Raw genomic sequence first — 25,270 nt, forward strand, 5'->3', positions numbered from 1 at the left:
ATCTAAAAATCTGCATGAATTTCTCTCTTCTTGAGGTCTCCAATATATCTGGAGGTTCCTGGCCTGTCAAGAGGTAAAAATGTTTATTCACTCACTGTGAGCTTGGGAATCCTTGAAGCTAGGCATCCTGTGCATAGTCTCAAATATCACATTCAAGTCAAACCATTTATAATATAACCAATGTTTGTAATTCTATCCTGTTACAAAGAGAATAGATTTTTATTGAATTAATGCAAATAACTATGTTGCCATAAAATAAAAATATCAATAAGAGCTCTCTGAAGACTGCAGCCGCAGGTAGGAAGAAAAAATAAATATTTCCATTTTTATTTATAAAAGTATACTTTACCAAATTGCTGTATGCTATAGATAGCTTTTTAAAAGTTTTCTCAAATCTGGAAAACAAAAAATTTAAAAAAAACAGCAAAATGTTAAACAAAAAGTCACTCGAAAATATTGCCATCAGTTTGTTTAGTCCCATTCATTAAACTTATTCTACTTGATCTGGGTTAGATGTTTTAAGAAGCCATCGTTTCTTCATTAGAGTCCTGGAAATTCTTTCCCAGTCCAGTGGTATAATCTTAAACTCATAAGAAATCTAAATTCCAGCATACTTGTTAGAGTCCTTTTCATGAACCTCCTTGAAGAGGAAGTATTTTTCTTTATTCATTTTAATTTATTCTCTACAATACTTCATTAGGGAGTTCAATGATTTGCACTCAGAAGTTAAATAGCCAAGAGGCAAGCAAGTATAATAAACTTCAGAATTGGACTGAGGTTGTTGCACTGAAGGCCATGTAGTCTTTTGCTTCAGGGAAATAACAACAAAAATAACCAAAATGAACACATAGCTCCCTAGGCTTCTGAATCTCAGTAGAGAATAACATCAACATTTAATGAAATTGTAGATATTAACACATCATGGGAAAAAAGATACTGTGCAAAATATTATAATTAACACTTGGCACTTCTTATGTCTAGATTTTTATTATAAACAATAAAATATATGTAATATCTTAACTACAGACCTTTCATGTTGAAAGGGCATCTAACATAACTTGTTTTAACATTATGAAGGGAAAAAGTTTAGAAATTTCAAAGTGGAAACAATCCAACACTAACAAACTATAGTGATCAAAAGTATTAACTTTTAAAGAAAAACAAGGACAATTCATAAAAGTAGAACTACCATTTGATCCAGCAATCTTACTGGTTATCTACCCAGAGGAAAAGAAGTCATTACACAAAAAAGATACTTGCACATGCACGTTTATAACAGCACAATTAGCAATTGCAAAAATGTGGAACCAGCCTAAATGCCCGTGAATCAATGAGTGAATAAACTGTGGTATATATTTATGTGTGTGTGTGTGTGTGTGTGTGTGTGTGTGTGTATGTATATGTATATATATATGCATATGTATATATATATATATGCATAAATACATATATGTAATGGAATACTATTCAGCCATAAAAAGGAATGAATTAATGGCATTCATAATAACCTGGATGGGATTGGAGACTATTATTCTAAGTGAAGTATCTCAGGAATGGAAAACCAAACATTGCATGTTCTCACTCTTAAGTGGGAGCTAAGCTATGCAGATGCAAAGGCATAAGAATGATACAGTGGACTTTGGGGACTCAAGGGAAAGAGTGGGAAAGGCATGAGGGGTAAAAGACTACAAATTGAGTTCAGTGTATACTGCTCGGGTGATGTGTGCACCAAAATCTCACAAATCACCACTAAAGAACTTACTCATGTAACCAAATACCTCATGTTCTCCAAAAACCTATGGAAATAAAAAATTTAAAAAATTACAGAAAGGGAATGTATTATGAGACAAGCCACGTTTATAGACCAAAGCATGCTCATAGCTAGGGATGAAACAAACCACAAACCAAGCCAGCAAAGTTGGGTTGATTCCTTGAAAAGAATGGTTACCTATTGTCCAGATTGAGTAGCCCAAAGACAGAGGAAACACTGAGCGTAAAACATTCCCTTTTTTTTAAACCTACCACTCACACCACATGCACTGATCACTCTCATCACTGCTTTGGTAAAGCATGTAGGATGCAGTTCAGTTTCAATTTGGAGCTGTTACCTCCCCAGGCAAAGCTGCCACACAGATGATCCAGGCTTGGTGTTTTTCCTGAGAGCCACCTGCCACACATTTTCATAAGGTGACCATGACTATGCACATCCAGGCTACTTCCTGACTAGGCCCTGTTCAGGAAGCATCCTGAGGTGTCCATTCCTCGTGGAGCCAAATAGTTCCCTTGGTTGACTCCTGAGTCCCCTTGGCAAGCCAAGCAGAATTCAAGCATTTCTACTGCTAGCCTTGTGTGGGAGCATGAGCGAATGTAAAGGGAGCAAGGCTCTTCAGTCCATAAACCACAGCCTACTTCAGGGTGGTGCTGGACCAGCCCTATTCTTGGGTACTGAATTTCTTTTTCTCATTTGTTGGGATTTTAAATTTTCTATTTATTTTCTTAAATGGCAGGTATCCTACTGCATCTTCAATAAAATAAAATATATACATATATATGTTGTACACTGGAGAAAACAAATAGGGGAACAGTTTGATAGTTTAGCCCCATTTTTTGCTTTTATTTAACCTTTAGAAGAAAACACAATTATTAAAACAGAATGCTTGAGCAGTAATAAGCGTAGCCCTATGTATCAATATTATTGTACAAATTGGATGTGGGTGCTTAACCCAGAGCTGACCACCCTGATAATAATCCAGAAAAAAACCATTGTTACATCTGTTTGTAACAAGACATTTATTATTCTCAGCACCAGGACATCATAAAATGACTCCTTGATCTTCATTTACTTCACCAAGGGAAACGTGGCAGGCTACAGAAACTCAGCACAGCAGTTAGTGGGGCTGTGCCCTGGGTGCCCTGATGTCACCCACATTTCCCTTGCATGTCTCAGGTCCTAATAAGCAGTGCAGGACAATGTTGAGCCAACCTACTCACCCGTGCCCATTCCTTCCCAGAAACTTAAAGGTGATCCCTATAATAGCACATATGTCCTTTCCCAAATTGTGTCTTTGCTCCCCTAACCCCATTCTTGGCAGAAGAAAAAACAAAACATCTCTTGACTTGAATATTTGCTTATTTTAGAAACCGACACAATCACCATAAACTTAAAAAAAAAATAAATCAAAATGTTGTTTTCACTGGGTTGACAGCTATCTGCTTCAAGAATTCTCTAAGCATGTTGTTGAAAACCAGTGTAACATCTTTAGGATCTTTCTCCCAACTGACCAGTCTTCCTGTGAATCATTTCAGCAGTTCCTTTGTGGCAATGTTTACAAAGCATCTTCTAAGTCCTCTAATTCTATGAGCTTTGCTATCAAAATAGTGAAGAATAGGAAAGGGGGAGGAAAAAACTAGCTGACAGCTGTTTGGAAATCAGCAACAATGTGAAAGAGAAATGTATCTCATGAAAGTTTGAAAGACATGGAATAAATGAGCTCTTTGGAAATTTGCCCTGGCGGAGTGAAGATTCCCACTTTATCTTCTTAGGCAAGATAAAGATCCACCTTATGTAATTACACAGCTTTGTTTAAGCATCCTGTAAAAGACTGAAAAATCAACTGTCTTCCTAACTCTACAGGCAAACTAGAAAAAGGATCTCCCTGCTTACTGGTCCCTCAGGATGTTTTCCTGAAAAGAAAACCAGCTTAGAGATACTGGATTTTCTTCTATGACAAAGTGTCCTCTTAAAGTCCAACCGAAACTTGTTTGCACACTTACACTTCTGAAAGCCTAGGTCCGACTATAGGGCTGATACCGGGAGAGAAGTGAAGTAGCTGGGTGGTGAGGAAGTGGTCTCTCCTTTCACATCTCTGTGCAGTCATGATATCAAGACCCCTTGTGGACATCTCTATTCCATTCCTCAGTCAGTGACACCACAGAGCTCTGTTTGATACCGGGAGACTTAATGCAGTAAAAGTGACAGAAAGTGCAACTGATAGTAGGATGAAAATTATAATCTTCAAGGATTATTGAGCCATGAGATCTGCAATGCTATCGTAGGGTTTCTGATCCTGATGTGGGTCTCTGTCCAGGATCCTTGAAGAAATTATGGCACCCACATCCAACCCTAACATAGCTTCCACTTATGAAACAAGGAGGTTGTAATCAACTCTTGGTATGTAATAAACTGGAAGTTCAAAAATGTAATTTAAAACAATCTAAAAGAATGTAATGTTGGTCTCCATTGCACAGACTGCTAGGGGAATATATCAACTTGATTTGGGGAGGCTGTAGAGGTATATAGAGGAGTATATGGGTTAAACCTTAATGGACCATCAGTTTCAGAGAAGAAGCAATTTTTTATTGTAGCTGATGGCAAATGCTTTTAGAAAAGAATGAAAGCAGTCGGTCCCTGTGGATGACAGACTTAGAGCGGCCATGGTTAAAAATCTCATGGAGTTTATTATAATAATAATGTAATTGACAAAGAAATTTGTTTATTTCTGTGGCATACAAAACTTGAAGATAATAACCAAGATTATGACCGATAACATATCAGATTTTGAAGAATTTATTTTGTAACACATATCAATAACATTCTGAAATACAACTTAAAGAAGGTTTAGCACCACTTAGTATTTGACAATACTCCCTATATAATTTAATATATCAAGTAAGTCTCATTAGTTTAATATATCTCTTTACAATGTGAGATACACATTCTTTGATCTTTCCAGGGGTCCAAATGAGAAATATCAAAATTAACTTGAGGGCAAAAAGAGTTAATTTAAAATATTATTTTGGGAAGTTTGTCAAAAACATCAAACAGTTTAAAACACTTTATCAGAGTACGATAACAGGTAACCAAAATGAAAATTAAAAGATTTCAAAAAATAAATGTAGAAATTTACATAATTGTCAACAAAAACATAGCTTTTTAATACTGAGAACATTTACTTTTCTCTTTTTTTAACTTTTATTTTAGGTTCAGGGGTACACATGTGGGTTACTTACGCATTTATATAGGTAAATTGTGTGTCACGGGGTTTGGTGTGTAGATTATTTCATAACCCAGATAATAAGCATAGTACCCAGTAGGTAATTTTTAAATTTTCATCCTCCTTCCTCCCTCCACTCTAAAGTAGGCCCAGTGTCTGTTGTTCCATTTGTGTCCATATGTACTCAATGTTTAGCTCCCCTTATAAGTGAGAACATATGGTATTGGGTTTTCTAGGATAATGGCCTCCAGCTCCACTCATGTTGCTGGAAAAGAGATGATCTCATTCTTTTTATGGCTGCATAGTATTCCATGTTGTATATCTACCACATTTCTTCATCCAGTCTACCACTGATGGGCATTTAGGTTGATTCCATGTCTTTGCTATTGTGAAAAGTGCTGCAATGAACATACACGTGCATGTGTCTTTATGGTAGAATGATTTGTATTTCTTTTGGTATATACTCAATAGTAGGATTGATGAGTTGAATGGCACTTCTGCTTTGAGTTCTTTGAGAAATGGCCACACTGCTTTCCACAATGGCTGAACTACCTTACATTCCCACCATCACTGTATAATCATTCCCTTTTCTCCACAACCTCACTAGCATCTCTTATTTTTTGAGTTTTTAATAATAGCCATTCTCATTGGTGTGAGATGGTATCTCATTGTGGTTTTGATTTGCATTTCTCTAATGATTAGTGATGTTGAGCATTTTGTCATATGCTTTCTGGCCACATGTATGCCCTCCTTTGAAAGTGTCCGTTCATGTACTTTGTGTACGTTTAAATGGGATTGTTTGTTTTTCACTTGTTGATTTTTTTAAGTTCACCAGATGCACTGTGCTGGGGTTCTGTGATAGTCCCTAATTGCTGTGCACCCTCCCAAGCCTGAGAGCAGCAGGAGGGAGGGTTGCGAGACAGCAAAAAGGTGGACTGCCTCTCTCTTTGGGAGCTGCATGCCGGAGAAGTGTAGAGCTGCTCCCAGCTGGAGAACTCAGGAGGACTAGGGTGGCCTCACTAGCATCCCAGGCTAGTGGGCCTTATCCTACAAGGTTCAGTGGTGGTGAGGTCTGCAGTCTATCACTGCTCAGCCCCATGGACTTGGCCCCTTTTCTGGGGAGCGTGCAAGAAAACTTGGCCTTCCCAATTGCTGGAGCTGCAGCCCCTGGTTTTGGGGTACCCAGGGAACAAATGCTACTGGGACTCCACACCTACCTAAGAAGCAGCTCTACCCAGACTCCACATGGCTCTCTGTTTTGGTCTGGAGACCCCAGCTGGGGTATCTCCTGAGCCCAGGGATTCAAAGGTTCGTGGCAGAAATATGCATCCCACGGGACTCTCACTCACTCACCATTTTCTTGTAGGGGGATTCCCCTGGGTCTGTGCCACTCCTGGGTGAATGGTTGATCTGTCTCACTCTTCTCCGTGATCCGAAGGTCACACTATGTCACTGATGAATCCTTATGTGTCCACCTGGATGTTCCGGTTGAAGAGCTAGTGTCTCACCACTCTTCCTGCTATTTGTGAGAGTGGCACACACTAGCTGCTTCTAGTCAACCATCTTGGCCCCACCTCACTCACTTTTCTCAAGTAATCAAAGACCTAGTAAAAGAGAGCATAAAGCATAAGAAATTACCTTGATAAACAAAAAATCTTGGTTTATTAGGCCAGTTATCTAAAAGGTAGAGAAAACATTTCACTATTGTCTATTAAGAGCAGGTCAATACTCAAAGAAAAGCTTGTTGTTTCAGCACAGGGGACAAATTTCAAGTTTTCCATTCCTGTACTTTTGATAATAATGCTCAAGTTTTCAGAATATTTATAAATAATTTCCTTTTAACTTTAGCCAACTTGGTCACACATAAAATTCTTTTCACAAGATTAATCTTCCACAAACTTTCTATAAATTTGTCATCCAGTTATCTTATTCAGTTTTTGTCTATATTTTTTCTCTTTTTCTTTTTGGAACAGTAAGACATTCTACTTTTAGACAAAAAATACTCTCTTTTTCCCTTAACAAAAACACAACCTCTTACTTATAACTTTCTGTATGTGTTTTCCTTCCCTCACGTACAGATTTGTTTCCCTTCATTATTTCTAGTTTAAATTACTCTAATATTAATTTTAATTAACTCTTAGTAACCTTAATTTCTAGTGAAAATTAGTAAGCATTTTGAAGTGCATCATGTTAGTATTTTGCAGATGAACACCATCTCATAAAATAATTTTTATGCCTTTAATTAACAGGCCCAAATATGTTTAGCTTTTCCATAACATGTGAAACCAAGATGCCAAATTACGTATATTTTAAACTTCTGTTAAGCAATTGATATTTCAGTATTTTCCTTAGAAATGACTCAAATATTAAATCAGTAAAGTGTTACTTAATTTAATATAACATGATTTTAAGATTTCAAGTCACACTAAATTATTTTTGAAATTCTGACAACTTTATTATCAACCTTTTGTCAATTTATATTCACCTAATTCACTTGTTCTTAACAATTGTGCTTCAGTTCCTCCTTAAACACAAGGATGAGTGGATTTATAGCTTTAAGACATTCATTATACATCTCAGTAATAGCAAGCTTGTTTCACCAGTAACTTTAGGTTTAAAAACTGTATCTGTACATTGTAATTAATGCTGACAATTCTGAAAATATTTGTTTTTATTTTGCCAACAAATTTTAAAACTAGCTTTGTCTGCCAAAGATTATTTCGTCACATAAGCCAAAAGGCAATTGAGTTTCTGTTTTTCTGAGAGAATTCTTAGTTTAAACACTTATGTTTTCTCTGTAAGCCAATTAAGTAGAGCCGTTTATGAATTTTGGTAGAAAAAATTGTACATACGCACACACACACACACACGTAGAAAAATACAGACAGAGGAAGAACTTACAACTTGCATTAAGAATTGTTATTTGCCTGGCTTGCAAGTAGTTTTACTCCCTCTTTCAGACTATCTGTCTTTTAATGATCTGTTCAATTGGCCCATAAACAAGTGTTAGTTAGGCCACCCAAAATTTGTACTTCCAAAGAGATGATTTTTAGGTGAAGGAATGTAGAAAATTTAAATCTCAAAGGTACAGAACTTAAACACCACTATTTGTTGAGATGAAAAAAAGCATATATAGGAAGCCTTCAAAATGAAATGGTCAAGGGTGAGTTTACACAGATAGATAGATTTAGGTCTCTTCCTTTTGCTTTGTGAAAGCATCTAGTGTTTTAGGTGTCAGAGAGGGAGATATCCTTACAAAGCAGAGATTATCATTACAGGTTTACATTTCTTACAAAGAGTTTCAAAATAAACAGGTAAATGCCAAAAACGTATATTTTGGAGACGGATTAATTCACTAGTTGGTCTATTCAACTTAACTTGTTTCCTAATGAGATTAAATTCATGCACAAATAACCAAACCAAAAATTAAACCAAAAGAATACTCACCAGAAAGGATGTCCTTTACAAGAGCAGATCCCCCAAAATGTAAGAGTTCACTGAAAAGGTGGGAGCTCAAACCAAGAGAGGACTTATCTCGCAGCATAAAGACAACTTGTACAAGTGAAGATCACAATAGGCTCAGGTGAGTATCATACACAATTTCAAGTATCGCCAGATACTTGAAAGCCTTCCAAAGGCTTTCTTTGTTACTGTTTGGATAACAGTGCTGTAACTGTAAGTAACAAAGAAGGCTTGGAGCCTTTGCATCTTGCTTCTGACATTAGATTATGTCAACTTAAACAACAGAGATACTGACTCTCTAAAATAAAGAGTGTATTCAGGAAATAGCAGTAAATTGCAATTTGAAATACACATGCTATGGTGGACCTTAGGCACCAAAGAAGCTGAGGGACTGTATTAGTTTGTTCTAGCACAAAGAACTACCTGAGACTTGGTAATTTATAAAGAAAAGAGGTTTAATTGACTCATGATTTCATAGGCTGTACAGGAAACATGATTGGAGGAGGCCTCAGGAAACTTACAATGATGGCAGAAGGCAAAAAGGAAGGAGGCACGTCTTACATGGCCGAAGCAGGGGGAAGAGGGCAAAGGGGAAATACCACACACTTTTCAACAAGCAGGTCTCATGAGAACTCACTATCACAAGAACAGCAAGGAGGAAATCCACCCCCATGATCCAATCGCCTCTCACCAAGCCCCTCCTCCAACATTGGGGATTACAATTCGACATGAGATTTGGGTGGGGACACAAATCTAAACCATATCAGGAAGGCAAAAATCTTAAAAGAGAAATTTTATGTAAGTTTTGTAATAAACCTCATGGGCCAGAGAAGCTTGTTACAAGAGTTGGCAAATACTCATTGATAATATTGGCTGTTGCTGGAGAGATGTCTTCATAGAATTATCATATCTAACATTTTCGTGGTTTTTGAGAGAACCATTGCAGCAGTTCTTATTATAGACATATGTACATGAAGGCCCCTCTTTCATGGCCTCCCAGCTTCATTTTTTTATGGTTTGATGTAAGTGACTCCATTTTGGTGCTCACAACTTCCACATTTCTCCCTTTTGGTTGAAATATTTTTCTGAAAGCATTTCACACTTAAAAGATATAGATTGGCCGGGCATGCTGGTTCATACCCGTAATCCCAGCACGTTAGGAGGCGGAGGTGGGTGGATCACCTGAGGTTGGGAGTTCGAGACCAGCCTGACAAACATGGAGAAACCCCATTTCTACCAAAAATACAAAATTAGCTGGGCGTGGTGGCACGTGCCTGTAATCCCAGCTACTCAGGAGGCTGAGGCAGGAGAATCACTTGAATCCAAGAGGCAGAGGTTGCAGTGAGCTGAGATCACGCCATTGCACTCCAGCTTGGGCAACAAGAACGAAACTCCATCTCAAAAAACAAAAACAAAAACAAACCAACAAAAAATGAAATAATTGTAAAAACCAACTATAGTTCTCAGTAATGATAGTTTCATTACCGTCAGCTATTAGTAGAGTTAATTAACTCCTATCAACCTCACATTTTCCATTTAAAAAATGCAGGAGAAAAAGTTTGATGTGGGTTTAATGAGAAAATTTATATAAAATAGATCTAACTACTATATTTATCACAAAACAGATGCACAAACTATGTTTTTTTCCTCTCACTTGTTCTTATTTTATATATCATTTTAATTGAGGAAATCATTGAGCATAATGTAACAAATATTTTCATAAGTTATTATAAAGAGGGTTGAAGGACTTGTTAGAAAGTGTCTGGCAGTGGAAAAAACATCTGAATAGAAAATGAAAATAGCATGTGAATGCTGAAATAGCGTATTAAATAGCTGCAACTCTAATATAATTTACATTTGGATTTTAGTATAGACAGAATACTTAAATTTATTTCTGCAGTCTTTTCAGTTGTTAAACATTTTATTGAACTCTTCATGTGCCTTTCAGATGTATTGTGCTTCAAGTGTGCTTGTACCAGCTTTTTCTGTTTAGAAATGCTTGAGTGTCTCCATTGTCAAAACGATCAGAAGGCAGTAATTGTATTTCCAATGTGAGGACAAACAATACTAGATATCCTGCGATCCTACATTGTAAAAAATATTCCCATCAAATGCCCCAATGGATAGCCACGTAAGTGATCATCTGTAATTATTTAGTCAAGAAATGAATATTTTACATGTAAATACTTTGAATGGCTTAATACAAACTAAATTTTTCAGAATGCAACCACTATGGAAATTGAAGAGAAAAAGTCTTTTTATTGTAGAAACTTCCCAGAGTCTTTCAATATTTACAAAAATTATGTTGCCAATGGCAATACCTTAGTTATTTGAATCACCAGTAGAACACACTATAAAAACATGCATTGTCACATCTGTACCCTGTCACATCCAGGATAACGATAATATTGAGATATATAACTATTTAGCCCTTATTTTAAAACATCAGGTAACAAGCATCAATCAATTTCTATCAAATGTTTCAACTTGGGTATTACAGCATAAGCAGAAATATACTGTTACCAATATCCCAGCCAATTTCTTTTCCTAATGAAACAATAAAACTGAGAATATAGAGACCATTTAGTAAAGCTGATATATATATATATATGTTTGCATATGTGTGTGTGTGTATATATACATATAAATGTAATTAATACAGTAGATGAGGTCAAAGAAGCAAGTGATACACAACTTTTAATTTGGATGGGATGTCCTTGAAGATTCCTGTATTAGTCCTTTCTCACATTCCTATATGAAAATACCTGAGACTGAGTAATTTATTAAAGAAAGAGGTTTAATTGACTCACAGTTCCCTATGACTGGGGAGGCCTCAGGAAACTTACAATCGTAGTGGAAGGTGAAAGGGAGGCAGGCACTTTCTTCACAAAATGGCAGGAAAAAGAAGGATGGAAGGAGGAACTTGCCGAACAGTTGTAAAACCATTAGATCTCGAGAGAACTCACTCACTGTCATGAGAACAGCTTGGGAGAAACCACCTCCATGATTCAATTACCTCCACCTGGTCTCTCCCTTGACATGTGGGGATTATGGGGTTTACAATTCACCATGAGATTTTGAGTGGGGACACACAGCCAAACCATATCAACTCCTAAATCTTAATACACTTTATTACTAGCTGATATGATTTGGATCTGTGTCCCTTACCAAATCTCATGCTGAATTGTAATCCCCAATGTTGGAGGTGGGGTCTTGTGGGAGGTGATTGGATCATGGGGGCAGATTTCCCCCTTTGATGCTGTATCATGATAGCATCCTCATGAGATATGGTTGGTGAAAGTGTGTGGCACCTTTTCTCTTCCTCTCAGTCCTGCTTCTGCCTTGCAAGATTCGTGCTTCCACTTTGCCTTCTGCCATGAGTAAAATCTCCCTTTCGCCTCCCCAGAAGCAGATGCTGCTATGCTTCCTGTTCAGCCTGCAGAACTGTGAGCCAATTAAACTTCTTTGCTTTATAAATTACCCCATATCAAGTGTTTCTTTATAGCAGCAGTGTGAGAACAAGCTAATACACTAGCCTTCTTGAATACATCTTAGCAAGCTCTCGAGCAGCGTAACCACATAGATTAGAGAAGGCCAAAACTGACAGATTCCCATCTTGACCAAAGTTTAATCATTCTTCTCCAGTCCCTCTTCTCAGGCCCAGTTTAACAAAGACGCCTGCTAAGCCAGTTCACTGAGAATCACTTCGCCCTGGATATCTTATCACTTTGGCATGCCTTTAGCAATAATGCAGTTTAGCAAGAACCCCGCTCCCCGCCACCCCACCCCCCGCCACCCTTAATATCTAATTAGTTTCTATCCACTGACTCACTCCCTCAGCTCTTTGCTTATAAATTTCCAGCTCCATGCTGGGAGAAATTTTAGTTCAATCTCTCTCTACTATAGCTATATTATTCCCCCATTGCTATAGTCCTGAATAGTCTTCCTTGCTATTTTTAACAAGCATCTAGTGTACACATTTCCTTTTGACAAAACATAGTGTCCATATGTAGAGGGAAGAGGAAAGCTAACAAAATATAAAGTCATCCAAACCACACACACCTTGGACAAGCTTATCATGTGTGGGAATAAAATGCTGGAGGTGGGTTTGGCTTCCCCCCCAAAAAAAGTGTGTAATTTGAAATTTCATATCAAGAACAGTTAAATTCCCAGATTCTTTATCATTACTGAATACCTTAGTAATTATTCTTCATTTAACACAACAGGAAATAGGAGATTTATTTTCTGGAGAGACTTGTCCAATTAAAGTGGGGATATGGTTGCTCCGTTGAGCAGAAATTTGGCTTATATAGACCCAAAGCTCAGAAAAAGAGTTATAGATCTAAAATGACAATCATTGAGACAATAAAGTTCATGGAAACCACAATGGGAAGCATCTACGTGGAAATAAAAAGTTGGATTTTCAGTAGAGAAATTGGTAACAATGTAAATTTCCTCTTAATGTCAGGTGAGAACTAATTCTGAAGTCAGAGGAGGAAAGTAGCCTACAACAAAGAGTAAGATCATCTTGACAGGATCAGGGAGAAAGATAATAGTTGCAAATGGAGACAGGTATATTGATTTAGTGCCAGGTAGTTGAAAGACTATGAGTATAAAGACTTATATTTTCTCTGTGTTGCAGTAGCAAAGTCATCTGCAGAGAGAGAGAAGTGAGAAGGGAGAAGAGAGTGTCAGAAATTAGAGGATTGTAGAGATTGAAAAAGTTATGTCAGGCACAATTGAAAACCCGGTTTCCAATGGTGATCATCGTCTTAAAATATTATCAGTTTGTTTTCTTGCATGACATTCTTCAGCAGCAGTCATGGACTGAGAAATATGCAGAAATCAGATAGTTGAGTTCATCTAGAGAAGAGGTTGCAATGTGCTTCTAAAAAGGACAAAACCAAAAGCAACCGAGAGAGAGAAAGAGAGAGAGAGAGAGAGAAAAATGAAGATGTGAAAGGGGATAGGTCAAAACTCAGTAATTTTTTTTAAGCAAAGGGCCAGATAGTAAATATTTTTATTTTGTGAGCCATATTGTCTCTGTAGGAAGTACTCAGTTCTCCCATGTTCTGCAAAAGCAACCATGGACAATAAGAAAATGTGGCTGCGTTCCAATAAGAATTTATTTAAAAAATAGGAGATGGATTGTATTTAGCCCAAGGGAAGCAGTATGTCAATTCTGGTTTTATGTTACTGGCAATTACATTTTAAAATATTCAGTAATTGAATCTACAATATCGATTCCCAACTATTGCTGCATATTAGTATCATAATAGAATGCCAGGTCCCAGAGACACTGGGTCAGCCAATCTCAATTGGGGCCAAGGCACTCATATGTATCTTTGGAACCTCCTCAGGCAATTCTAACATAAAGCCAGTGTTGAGAAGAGCCATTGTTAGTTTGCTTGTGGGAGTAACTGACCGCAGGAGGATCATAATGCTATAGGCAAAGGCTGAGGCACCAGTGGATTGAAAGTCTTAGTGAGGCAGGAGAACAGCTGCAGTGGGAATTGTTGCCACACTGAACAGACAGGAGATTGATCAAAGAGTGGTGTGCTTATTTAGTCATTTAAGAGGAATATCATGTTTTGTCATTATACATTTCATGGGTTTGGTAAGCAGCCTCTAAAATTGCTCCATGTCACTTGTACCCCTGGTAGAGGTAACTCCTTGAGGAATCTTCTACTCTGTTGTCCTAGTTGAATTTATCTCACTTCACTATCAAATAGACTGTGGCAGAAGTGATGGATATCACTTCCAACATTAGATTGCACAAAGACTGTGGCTTCTGTCTTGGGAATCCTCTCTCTCTCTTTCATTGTAAGGGAAGCTGACTTCTATGTTGGGCGCTGCCTATTAAGAAGTCCACATAGCACGGAGCCAGTGTCACCAGTCACAGCCAGCAAGGAAGGACCTGGGGACTGCCCCCAGCCACATGATTAATCTTAGAAGTGAATCTTCCCTAAGTAAGGCTTTTAAATGATGGCAGCCTTATGAGAGTCCTTGAGCTAGAGGGCCTTACTAATTCTGATATAGTTCTTGACCCAGAGAAGTTGGCATAATGAATGTTTGTTGTTTTAATCCACTAAGTTTTGGAGGTAATATGTTAAGCATCAACAGATAACTAATAAAAGGAGTGATTCTGAGCAAGAAAGCCTTAAATGGAGGGAAGCTAAGGTCAAATAGTTTATGAATATCATCCTGTAAGAATACAGGGCTTGGAGCTTTGAAGGTGGGAGCAGAAAAAAATTTATGTAAGCTTGTCATTAACAATATGACTAAAAAAGTTCATTATACTGAAGGATAAATGCTTACATGTGCCTCAGAGAATAGATGTTTTTATTCCTGGGAAGAAAGATAAACTTTTTCAAAAAACATAAAGATTAAGTAGGATGCAGTTTCCAGCTTTGGATTCTGACATTCAGGACATGGGGAGGGTGATGAGCTTCTCCTGGAGGACTGAATTTAGGACACAATCAAGTTCATGATGGAAGCCCTTATGAGGTAGAGAGGGAGTGCATCTCAGCTCTTTCGATTAATTAAATGATTGCTTGAATTGGAGAAGGTGTGGGTATTTTGTGTTGTTTGGGTGAGTACATTGGAATGGTTTTCTAGCATTCCTTTGAGATTTTCCACAGTATAAGTTAAGGTAAAAGAACATTTTTACTTGTTTCAGAAAGCATACTGAGGAAGCTTTAATGTTACTATTAAGTAGGTAGGGAAATGACCAATATTATAAACGCAGATTTCCAGCCTCTCCTTTTAATGCTTTCAGAATGATTCCACAAGAACCTTGAAAATGTTGAGTATTTATATTTATTTTATGCCCTTTTATTGTGATTTTTTTAATAAATAACATTTTTTTGGTAAATACTGGAAGTTAATATTCTATAGTTCAGAAAAGCAATTTTGAACACTCAACTAGTGAGCCCATATAAAACTACATAACAGCACAGAATATAGTAAAATAATAATATAATGAACTGGGAGACAAACTAGGCACTGTGTGCCAAGTTTTTCAAGGAAGATACAATTTCAATACCAATGAAATAAACTCCCACAAATTGATTTTTCTTTGTGTGCACTCATCAGTGTAAATACAATTAAGTAATAAAGCCTGTACTTGTTCAGGAAAGATGTTTTCTATTCATAGTCTGATATCTGGGTGCTTTGGTTTCTGATAATTTGTTATGTAAAAACCCTGCAAATTAAAAAAAAAAAAAATCAGCAGCTCCAAGTTCATGGGCCCTTATCACAGAGGATTTAAAACCTGTGCATTTTCTTTAAACTGAGAATATTATTACATTTTTTAATCCAGTGATGAGACCATAATAGTTTTCTGAAATAATTCAGAATAATTATATACCTAAAAGTTAATTTGCATGTGCTGTAATTTAAATAAAAGGACAGTTAATTTTTGCATTACAAAACATGAAAAATAAAATCAAACGTTGCATCTTTACTTTTATTACATAAATTCCTTTACATTGTAGTGCCCCCTAGCACCACGCAAGTTTATAAACTGCTTTCAATATTAATTATGTTATTATAATAATAACTAATTTAAGAATGTATTATTAAAGTCAGTAATTTAATAATAATAATTTCAATAATATATGTGTCACAAAAATACCTGAAATTACAATTAGTATGTCCGGTTTACTGATGGGAATACTGTGGCTCAAAAACATCATCTCAGGCAGGGTGTGGTGGCTAACTCATGTAATCCCAGCACTTTGGGGGTCCAAAGCAGGTGGATCGCCTGAGATCAGGAGTTTGAGACCAGCCTGGCCAACATGGTGAAACCTCATCTCTACTAAAGTACAAAACCGGTCCGGCATGGTAGTGCACACCTGTAATCCCAGCTACTCGGGGGGCTGAGGCAGGAGAATCACTTGAACCCATGAGGAGGAGGTTGCAGTGAGCCAAGATCACACCACTGCCCTCTAGTCTGGGTGACAGAGCGAGAGTCCTTCTCAAAAAAAAAAAAAAAAAAAAAAAATCATCTCACCCAAATCATGTAGCTACAAAGTTATGGTTTAGAATAATTCAACTATTTTACTGAAATCAAAACTTTTACTATTAACCAATCAGTTACACTCAGCTTTGTGTAACTGAATACCAAATAACATCATGTTCCAGTAATTTTCATTTGAGTGAGAAGGGAGCACACTGGTACCCTGGACACACCCAGATACACTAAATCAGAATCTCTAAAACTTGGTGACTGTAAAAATAATTTTATTCTGAGTCTGAAACATATGCTCCGTGTTTCTTAGCAAGTTTCTGCAGCACAGGAGTCAGGTGAGGGAAGGTAGCGCCCCACTCCTGGTTATGGAAGGCAGAGGGTGAGTTCTGCTGCACATATGAAGCTATGGAGAGAGCAAGACTGCATAGGAGCAGGGTACAGTCTCTGGATATAGAAGACAGATAAACCTGGGTTATAGTTGACCCAGTGGAAAATTATAGGCCAAGAATAAGTTTCCAGATACCTTAATAGGACTGGGCATTTGATAAATTTTGAAAGTTCTCTGATAACTCGTATGTGCAGTGTAGGCTAAGAACTCATGGAAACAATATAGACATTTTTTGCCTCTCAGGGATATGCAGACACCCCAGTTCAGATATGATGTCTTCATGATCATCAGAAATCCAGATGGCTATTATCTTGTTGCTTTGCACCTCCAAGTACTGCTGCTTCTCATGTTGCCCCATGGCTGCCCCAGATCTAGCCATCAGAGCTGCCTTTCCAAGAAGGAAGAAAGCACAGAGATAGGACATGCCCCCTGCATGTAAGTCAGCTTCTCAGAAGTTACACGCGTTACTTCCCCTTACACAACATAGGTCAGAAATTGGTCACATGTGTCATGCCCTATGTTAAGAAAAGATTGGGAATATAGCATTTATTCCTGGTGATCATGTGTCCGGCTAAGCATTAGAGGACATTTTTACTGATGGCGAAAGGGTCAATGGAGATTGCAGTGAACCAGCCATCTCTGTCCAATAGGCACTTTATTTGGTGACAATAATTATAGGAAAGGTAGCACTAGACAGTTTTAATTCATTGAAGTTATTTTGGGTTTTTCTTGTTACTTTGTTTGTTTGCTTATTTGTTTTATCCTTCAGAGAAATGCTAGAAATTTAGTAATTAAATTAAATATTTCATTGAACACAAAAGCATAACATTATGGAAAAGAGTAACTGTTGTTTGGTTTTATTTATATATGTTAGTGTTTATACTGACTAATCTCACCAATGGAGACAGACAATTTCTAAGATTTATTATAGGCATTGTGTTTGGATCTTTCTTTCAGAAAAGTAAAAATCAGCTTAACCCAAAAATTATTTTAATAATAATTGGCATATCCAGCTTCATCCATGTCCCTACAGCGGACATGAACTCATACATTTTTATGTCTGCATAGTATTCCCATGGTGTATATGTGCCACATTTTCTTAATCCAGTCTATCATGGATGGACATTTGGGTTGGTTCCAAGTCTTTGCTATTGTGAATAGTGCCGCAATAAACATATGTGTGCATGTGTCTTTATAGCAGCATGATTTATAATCCTTTGGGTATATATCCAGTAATGGGATGGCTGGGTCAAATGGTATTTCCAGTTCTAGAAGCTGGAAACCATCATTCTGAGCAAACTATCGCAAGGACAGAAAACCAAACACCGCATATCCTCACTCATAGGTGCAAATTGAACAATGAGAACACCTGGACACAGGGTGGGGAACACGACACACCGGAGCCTGTCGTGGGGTGGGAGGAGGGGGCAGGGATAGCATTAGGAGATGTGCCTAATGTAAATGACGAGTTAATGGCTGCAGCACACCAACATGGCACATGTATACATATGTAACAAACCTGCACATTGTGCACATGTACCCTAGAACTTAAAGTATAATAAAAATAAATAAATAATAATTGGCATATCCAGAACCCTTTGCTGTCTTCTGCTACATTTGCACAAATTCACAGCTATTTGAATACCAGTCATTGTCAATCCTGGTCAGCTTTGAAAATACTGTTCCTTAGTTTTGCTCTCTGCCTAATTTACTTGGATTGAGGGGAAACCCAGGAATCAGTTGATTTGAGTACGTAGCCAATGTTGTAAAGAACTAATTGCTTTAACTTCTAATAGAAAAATATCACTATTTTTTTTAAAAAGTTACATAATTCATGTGTAGGAACATAATCCTTTTAGCCTAGAAGTAAAAAATGATATAGTCTTGCCCTATAGCACTGATCATGGCCATATATAATTTATAATAACCAAAATAATGACAATATTTTGGTACAGCATGCTCTATTAATTTGAATGCTCACGAGTTAACACATAATTCAATGTGATATGTATTAGGTTATAGAAAACCATGAGGTAAAAATCATAGGCTGCATTGAACTTTCTACTTCCCCAACTTTGCCTCATTATAGGGAGGGATGCAGCCCTAGAGTTCAAGAATTCCATAAAGACCAACCTGAAATTCTGGTGCCTGGCATCTTGTCACACCTTCTTCCAATACACAAACATCAAGGAGTGTAGAAGTTGAACATGGTCTGTTGTCACTGCCTCAAAGAATCCACTTCTAGCTTGTTCACACTAGGGTGTGAACATTTAAAGAGGGTAGGGAAGAACCACCTGGGTGGATTTTCACTGGGGATCTTATAATAAACTCTCAAAATCCCAGATTGAGACAAGGGAAGGGATGCTCAGTCGTATGTAATTAGGAAAAAGAGAGGGATTTTGAACCCACCCCTGCATCATCTAAGTCAAATAGAGCCAGTGTAACTGTTGGGACCGTTGCAGGTAGGGTGTGCTAGGTACCAAGCCGCAGTTAGGTAACCAATGACTTTTACAAGCTTATTTTCATCTCAGTACACCACATGCTTCATGTGCCACGTGCATGTATGTAAGTTACACATCTAAGATTATATTATTGGGTTACACTACCATGAATTATCTAAGGAAAACAGAATGATCATCATTGTGTGTGCAAAGACGACTTCTGAAATTAATACCAACAAGAGATTTCTTCTTTGCATATTTTCAAGCAGAAAGTGGACTAAATTATATCATTGGAGCATGACGTCTCAAAAAATATTTATTGCCAAATAATTCTTTACTGCTAAAAATTATTTATTGCATGAAATAGAAAAGATCTGAGACTGAAACTTCCATTTAAAAACATGATTTAAAAAAATAGAGTAATTACATAACAATTATGAAACTCAGATGCCAGAGTCAGAAATCAAGAAATTAACTATGTCAAGCAATTACAATATGATTACAAAGGCCCTTATATATTCATACAAGCTTTTTGCATTTTTTGAGCTAATTTTATGAAAAACATCAAAAGCCAGAAAACTAATGCTTAATGTATATTTTAAGGCCAAGAACAATATAGAAAAATTAATTTTCTCCTTAAAGTTTTTTAAGATATTTAAAGTAAACATTTTAAAAATTATTTAATCTGTGACCCAATTTGAATCACTTTGCTCTTCAGATTCCGATGTCTCCACAAAAATTCCGATGTCTCCTTGAAATTAGCTGATACATTATAAGAAATGAATGACTGTCCTGTCCTATTTGGGATACACATAAAAGTTACCCCAAAGGTTTAATTAGATAGTGAAGTACAAAAATACAGATTTGTAAAATATTACATATATAAACAATATAAATCTCTATTTTGACAAGTGACTTGATAAACTAGGTTAAATAATTGTTAATAGAGTTGAGTAAAGGCAGTGATGTTGGTAAACTAGTGATCCAAATGAAAAGAAAGTCGGCTGGGCACGGTGGCTCACGCCTGTAATCCCAGCACTTTGGGAGGCCAAGGCGGGTGGATCACAAGGTCAGGAGTTCGAGACCAGCCCGGCCAATATTGTGAAACCCCGTCTCTAATAAAAAATACACAAATTAGCCCAGCGTGGTGGCATGGTGCCTGTAGTCACAGCTACTCAGGAGGCTGAGGCAGGAGAATCGCTTGAACCAGGGAGGTGGAGGTTGCAGCGAGCTGAGACCACACCACTGCACTCCAGACTGGGCAACAGAGTGAGACGCCATCTCAAAAAAAAAAAAAAAAAAAAAAAAACCAGAAAAAAAGAAAGTCTTGATACATGGTGTATGCTGCATGTATGTAATTTACACTTCAAAGAGTAAGTCCTCCCACCATAGCTGTTTTCAAGTTATTACCATTTCAAGATACTAACTCCTGTGAATAGGAGGGTGAAGTCTTTAAATTACAGGAAATTGCAATAAAAGCCTGAGGCAAAGATATTTCAAGGGTTTTGGTTAAACAAAAGACACATTGGCTGGCATGAACAAGAGGAATCCACTATTGAAACCATCTTAGTCAATGGCAGGAAGACAGTGTTATGAGTCTACTGGTTACAGAAAATCTTTGTTTTAAAAACTCAGGTTTATCGAATTAAAATTTATATATGCCAAAAGTCATCTTTTTAAGTATGCAGTGTGTTGAAAACATAGATGGTTATATAACAAATACCATCCTCAAGATATAGAACAGTAACATCACCTAGAAAAATTCCCTTTTGTGCCTTTTGAATCAGTATTTCTGCTGCCCTCAGTCTTTGGAAATCGCTGTTCTTTGTCCCTATGGTTTTATATTTTCTAGAATGTCATACACAAGGGAGCAAACAGCATCCTGAATAGGCCTTTAAATCTGGCTTTTAAAATAGCATAATAAATCTGAGACACATTCATGTTGTTATGTTATCAGATTTGTTTCTTTTTCTTCCTAATGTGATATTAAATAGATACAGTATATAACTTTTTGACTATTCACCAGTTTTTGAAATTATGAATCATATGGTTAAAGTCACCAACAGATATACATATGTATATTACATATATGTATAATAATGTATGTATATATAATATATGTATATATACATATATGTATATAGTATACATATAAATCAGTGGATTCTTCAATTTTTTTATTGTCAAAATGATTTTTCCATTATAATTCCTTTGCTTCTCTGTTGAAAGTTTTAGAATGAGCTTGTTTGTTAGTTGCAAATATCCTGTTAGGAATTTTAACTGGATTGAATTTTTGTATTGAATTTTTTGTTTGGTTTGAACAGAATTAATTTATTGTCAATATTGGCTACCAAGCTCTTTACTTATTTACTTCTTCTTTGATTTCTTTTACCAGTGTTTTTTTAGTTTTTGTTACCCTTTCTCCATGTTTTTTTAGATTAAGAATTTAATGTTTCTTGTGCTACTTTAAATGTAACTTTAAAAAATTCTAATTTCCAATTGTTCATTAATAGTGTTGTAAAGTAGCGGGTCCCCCACCAGGGAATTTAAGGGCATATGTTGACTGCTTGAGTCCTGAAGGCTAGATGGTGAGCAAAGTTCATGGTGCTCAGCCGAGGAGCAGATGTCCCTGAAAACCAAAACATCCGGGAGCATATCTAGGTACATACCAAGAAGAACAGTTTCATCACATGTAGTAAGCAAAGAGCCAGAAAAGTAGCTTTGGCCGGGCGCGGTGGCTCATGCCTGTAATCCCAGCACTTTGAGAGGCCAAGGCGGGCGGATCACGAGGTCAGGAAATCAAGACCATCCTGGCTAACGTGGTGAAACCCCGTCTCTACTAAAAATACAAAAGATTAGCCGGGCGTGGTGGAAGGCGCCTATAGTCCCAGCTACTCGGGAGGCTGAGGCAGGAGAATGGCGTGAACCTGGGAGGCGGAGCTTGCAGTGAGCCGAGATCCCGCCACTGCACTGCAGCCTGGGCGACAGAGCGAGACTCCGTCAAAGAAAAGAAAAGAAAAGAAGAAAGGAAAGGAAAGGAAAGGAAAGGAAAGGAAAGGAAAGGAAAGGAAAGGAAAGGAAAGGAAAGGAAAGGAAAGGAAAGGAAAGGAAAGGAAAGGAAAGGAAAGGAAAGGAAAGGAAAGGAAAGGAAAGGAAAGGAAACAGAAAAGAAAAGAAAAGAAAAAAGTAGCTTAAAAGCAGCTTAGAGGAAGATGGTGGGCAGCAGGCGGATCTCTGGAGTTATCCCGCTGCCCTTTACGTAAGTCCTAATAAACTCATCTTCTCATGAAGCTGGACTTGTCTGAGTCCTTCTTTGTTATTTCAGCACTATCTCTTTGGCAGAGGGATGTTCTTCTACACAGGTCTGGGTTTTTCCTGCAACAATTATATATAAAAAATAATTCTGTATATTAACATTATAGTGTTATAGTGCATAGTGTGAAATTACAAAACTCACAATTTATTTCTAGTAGCTTCACTTTTAATAATTTTAATTATTTTGTACTCACAATTTATTTCTAGCAGCTTCACTGCTAATAATTTTAATTATTTTGTACATAATGGAATACTGTGCATAGACCATCCACGAATCAAATAGAGTTTTATTTCTTCGTATCCAATTTGTATGCCTTTTGTTTATTTTTCTTACTTTAGTACACTGGTTAAAATTTCCAGTATACAGTTAAATAGTTCTTGAGGACAGGTTTCCTGTACTTCTTTTCTTCGTGCCTGTGTATAACGTATATTTAACTATATAATACATACAACACAACTATGTTTGTCTTCATATAATTTTTTACCTTTTTTTTAGTTTGTTTACGTAGCCCCTATATCTCTAGAAATGTTTCTTGGATTTACGATTTGATTGCCTTCACTTCTTTTGGAAAATTCTCATTCATTTTGTTTTTAAGTATTTATCATCCTTGTTCTCTTTCATGAATCCGTTCAAGTTAGGCATCCAGAGCTGTCCTTCAGCTCTTGGATGCCATGTTCTGCTATTTATCACTCTTCTTGTTTCTTACTTGTATTTGTTATTCAATTTCTATGTTTTTTATCTTCAACTTTACTGTTCCATTCTTTATTCATATCAAGTCTTCTGATGAATTACTTCATTGGTGTTTGCATTTTGAGGTAGATACAACAGTATATCTATTGAGACATTAATTAGTGCAATTAAACCGAAGTTTAACACATTTTAAGTAAAAATTTATCCCACTATCGCATAAAACTTGTGAAAGTTAAAGTCATCAGCACTTAATATTGTCTGTCATGCGAGGCAATCGGCACTCAAGTGGCAAATGCACTCATTTAACTCTAAATTGGTACTTTAGTTAATCTCTCATATTGATTTTTTAACCCTTAAACACTGGCAAAGAGAAGCATACACCTAAAGAGAGATTTTTTACATTATTGTTTATTTAGTTAGTTTTTAGAAACAAGGTCTCCTCTCTCTCCCAGGCTGGAGGGCTGTGGTGCAATCACAGCTCACTGCAGCCTCAAAATCCTGGGCCCAAGCATACCTCCCACCTCAGCCTCCCAAGTAGCTTGGATTACAAGTGCCTGCCTCAGTACCCGGCTACTTTTAAAACATTTTTTGATACACATAGAGTCTCAGTTTGCTGCTCAGGCTGGTCTCAAACTATTGGTCTCAAGCAATCCTCTTGCCTCAAGCTTCTGAAGTGCTGGGATTACAGGTTAACCAGGACACCTGGCCGAGAGGTTATTTTTTGTTGTTTTAATTTCTTTATTTAATAGTCTGTGTATTTAAATTTTGTTGACAATAATCTTAACAGCAACAATAGTATCTACTTGAAAGGTATGCATTCTATATATAATTCCTTAGATATAAATTTAAGTATAAATATTTGAAAACTCTTTAATTTTTTAATATTGTGTCCCATTTCTTAAAAAAGAGAGAAGCTATATTAACTTTTGAATTCAGTACACAGTTAACAGTTCTTTCATTTAATATGTGATAATATAAATTTAACAGTGAAACTTTCAAATACTCATATTAACTTACCCTGATAGATTTTATAGCTTTAATATAAAACTTCTCATAAATGTAAAATTTGACAAAGCACAATATTCTCCAGGAAGTTAGAAAAGTAATATAATTTTCTGTCTCTCAGAATGTGTTTTCTAACCTCTAAATATAAATTGATGGACTAATCTTTTAAAATTCAGAATCAAATATAATTGCTTTGGTTTGATCATTGAGAATTCTTTTTCCATTCCATCATTTTATAGTTTTTGCCTAAATAAAATACTTAAGGAAGTTATTGTTATGTTGTATTTGAAAGATGCCTGATGGAGAAACATTCATAGTTCTTTTCTATCCTTATGAAAGGTTATATGAAAACATATATATATGTATATATATAAACATGTGGATAAAGTACAGAAAATCCTATCATTGCCTCTGACTCAAATGGTAATCTTTAATATAAAGATTTGAAACTTTCATGGAACAGTATATCAGAACTTTATTTCCAATTTGTTTATGTATACTTAACGTATATCCTAAGTATCAAGAAATCACATTCAATTAACATATACATTATAAAACAATTCCTATATGATAATTCTAATAAGTAAACATGATTTTAGTGGTAGTAATTATTCAATCAAATATTCATATTTTAAAGATTAAATCTTCATATTTTAAAGCACATTACATCAGTTTACAATTCGATATTGACTACTGGATAGAATTTATCAATGAAATTTTGAATATGGCATGGTTAATGCAGATCATGTGAATTAAATTGCAAGGCAGAGAGCTTTTAAATTAAAAAAATAAGCTGGTTTATAAATCCAGTGCTAGACAGTTAATAAAAGCAATACATATAAATCTCCCAGACACCTCCCAATCTTGGTATTTTGAAATATTTTCCTCTTTTTAATATTATTTAAATAAAAAAATTATCTGCCTTTAAGCAACAAAACATGAACTCTTGGTAGAAAATTCACTAATTGACATAGGTATCTAGACTTATAAACCTGTAAAAAA

The 25,270-nt window shown here is 36.4% G+C and overlaps 1 long non-coding RNA gene across 1 annotated transcript in view; it reads right to left on the bottom strand.

Annotated features, from left to right (window-relative positions):
* Positions 1-6,213: 6,213 nt before the first annotated feature.
* Positions 6,214-25,270, bottom strand: part of LINC02197 (long intergenic non-protein coding RNA 2197) — a 125,726-nt gene continuing 106,669 nt past the window's right edge. Inside the window, exon 3 of the long non-coding RNA NR_134269.1 lies at positions 6,214-6,598. This is a non-coding gene — a long non-coding RNA (long intergenic non-protein coding RNA 2197). The remainder of the gene's footprint in view (positions 6,599-25,270) is intronic.

This window comes from Homo sapiens, chromosome 5 (genome assembly GCF_000001405.40).
Source record: "Homo sapiens chromosome 5, GRCh38.p14 Primary Assembly".
In the NCBI taxonomy this organism is placed as follows: Eukaryota; Metazoa; Chordata; class Mammalia; order Primates; family Hominidae; genus Homo; species Homo sapiens.